The sequence below is a fragment of the Homo sapiens genome, chromosome 20, assembly GCF_000001405.40.
Source record: "Homo sapiens chromosome 20, GRCh38.p14 Primary Assembly".
In the NCBI taxonomy this organism is placed as follows: domain Eukaryota; kingdom Metazoa; phylum Chordata; class Mammalia; order Primates; family Hominidae; genus Homo; species Homo sapiens.
This window is the reverse complement of record NC_000020.11, coordinates 12,604,087-12,606,466: the sequence shown is the minus strand read 5'-3', so window position 1 is coordinate 12,606,466 and position 2,380 is coordinate 12,604,087. Positions and strand designations below refer to the sequence as shown.

General features: G+C 41.8%; 1 long non-coding RNA gene across 1 annotated transcript; it reads right to left on the bottom strand.

The window, feature by feature from the left end:
* Positions 1-314: 314 nt before the first annotated feature.
* Positions 315-1,839, bottom strand: LOC124904871 (uncharacterized). Its single transcript, XR_007067532.1, has 2 exons — positions 1,348-1,839; positions 315-567 (listed from the first exon to the last, which is right to left on the bottom strand). It is a non-coding gene; the product is annotated as an uncharacterized LOC124904871 (long non-coding RNA).
* Positions 1,840-2,380: the final 541 nt, after the last annotated feature.

Here is a 2,380-nt window from a genome sequence, read left to right as displayed (position 1 = left end):
GTAGACGTTCGCAGATGGGTCATAAAGCGAAAGCCCAACTGTTTGTGGTCTACGACAGATAACTAAAATAAAATGATTCAAAAGGTTAAACAGAAAGTGATGAGCAAATTTAACTGGAGAAAGGCAGTCTAAGTAAACAGAGAGATGACAATATAAATATCAGACAAAGTAAAATTCAAAGCAGAAAGCATGCTAACAGTACAAAGGGAATTGTTGCATGCAAATTATAATCCTCATGAGTCTGTATGTGCTGAAAAACAGAATGTCAAAATAGATATAACCTTAACTGAGGAAACAAGAGATATACACAGAAGCACAACAGATTTGGGAGGATTTATTATACTTCTTTAATTTTTGACAGATCAACTAGACACTAAAATAAATAAGAAAATAGATGATGAGAAAGAGATTTGTGAGGAGAGCCACAGCATGTCTGAAGAGCTCTGATACTGCTTCTCTCTGTAGGCCAGATCTTACCATAGGAGCCACAGTCACTCAATTGGAAAACTTAAATGCAGTAGGAATAATTGGATCCTGAAGTGGCAGGCGTCAAGTGGCAGCACTCAACTGTCAAAGGCAAGGTGGGCATAGTTACTGTAATGAACAACAGAGGCAAAGGAAAAATCAGAATGCTCCCACTCGTGTAGATCTATGGCATTGGCTGGTTAAGTATGGTGTTCTTAGATGTGAAATAAATAGGAAGCCTACTAAAATCTTACTTGATCTGTATAAGCAGAAAACTTTCTGGTCAAGTGAACAAAAGTCTAACTTGAATTACGTCGACGAGAATCATGACTCATCAATCAATTCTCAAACTTGAGCCAGTTTACAGACCTACAACACCTTATATGAAGGAGAGGCTGGGTCACCTCCAGGAAGGACCCCAGGACACTTCCAAAAATGTATACAGTTACTCTTTCTCTCATCCCTCCTGAAAGAGACCTTACAGCCTTTTTCCAGGGTAACTGTGCATTGGGGAAAAGGAAAGCATCTGACCTTTCAGGGACTACTGGGACAAAGGCTCTGAACTGACCTTGATTCCAGGAGACCAGAAATGTCACTGTGGCCCTCCAGTTACAGTAGGAGCTTATGAAGCTCAGGCCAACGATGGTGTTTTAGCTCAGTTCTGACACACAGTGGGCCCAGTGGGTCCCTAAAACACTCTGTGACTATTTCCCCAGTTCCAGATGCAAAATTGGAATAGATGCACCTAGCTGCTGGTAGAATTTGCACATTGGTTCCCTAACCTGTGAGGTGAGGGCTATTATTGTGAGAAAGACCAAATGATAGTTAATTAGAACTGCCTCTAATTAGGAAAATGATAAATAAGAAAACAATACCACATACCTAGATGAATTGCAGAAATTAGTGCCACCATCAAGGACTTAAAAGATGCAGGGGTGGTGATTCCAACCACATCACCATTCAATTCTTCTATTTGGCCTAGATCTTGGAGAATGATAGTGGCTTATTAGAGGCTTAACCAATGGTGAGTTCTATTGCAGTGGCTGTACCAGATATGGTTTCACTGTTTGAGCAAATTAACACGTCTTCTTGTACTTGGTACATAGCTATTGGACTGGCGAATGCCTTTTTCTCCATAGCTTTCCATAAGGCTCACCAGAAGCAGTTTGCTTATGGCTGGCATGGCTAAATATACCTGCACTGACCTACCTCAGGGGCATATCAACTCTCCAGCCCTATGTCACAATTTAGTTTGCAGGGATCTTGATTACCTTCCCCTTTCACAAGATATTACCCTGGTCCATTACATTGATGACATTATGCTGATGGAACCTAGTGAACATGAAGTAGCAATTACTCTAAACTTATTGATAAGACATTTGCACATCAGAGGATGGGAAGTAAATCTTACTAAATTTCATGGGTCTTCTACCTCAGCAAAATTTCTAGGGGTCCAGTGGTTTGAGCCATGTCAAGAAATCCCTTCTAAGATAAAGGATACGAAGCTGCTTCTAGCTGCTCCTACAACCAAGAAAGAGGCACAATATCTAGTGGGCCTATTTATATTTTCGAGGCAACACATTCCTCATTTGGGTGTATTACTTCAGCCCATCTACTGACAGACCTGAAAAGCTGCTAGTTTTGAGTAGGGCCCAGAACAGGAGAAGACTCTGCCACAAGTCCAGGCTGCTGTGCAAAGTGCTCTGCCATTTGGGCCAATGGTCCAACAGATGCAATGGTGCTTGAGGTGTCAGTAGCAGACAGGGATGCTGTTTGGAGCCTTTGGCAGGACTCTATAGGTGAATCACAGCAGAGTGCCTTAGGATTTGGGAGCAAAGCCCTGTCATCCTCTGCAGATACCTACTCTGCTTTTGAGAGGCAGGTCTTAGTTTTCCTTAGTAGAAAATGAACACTT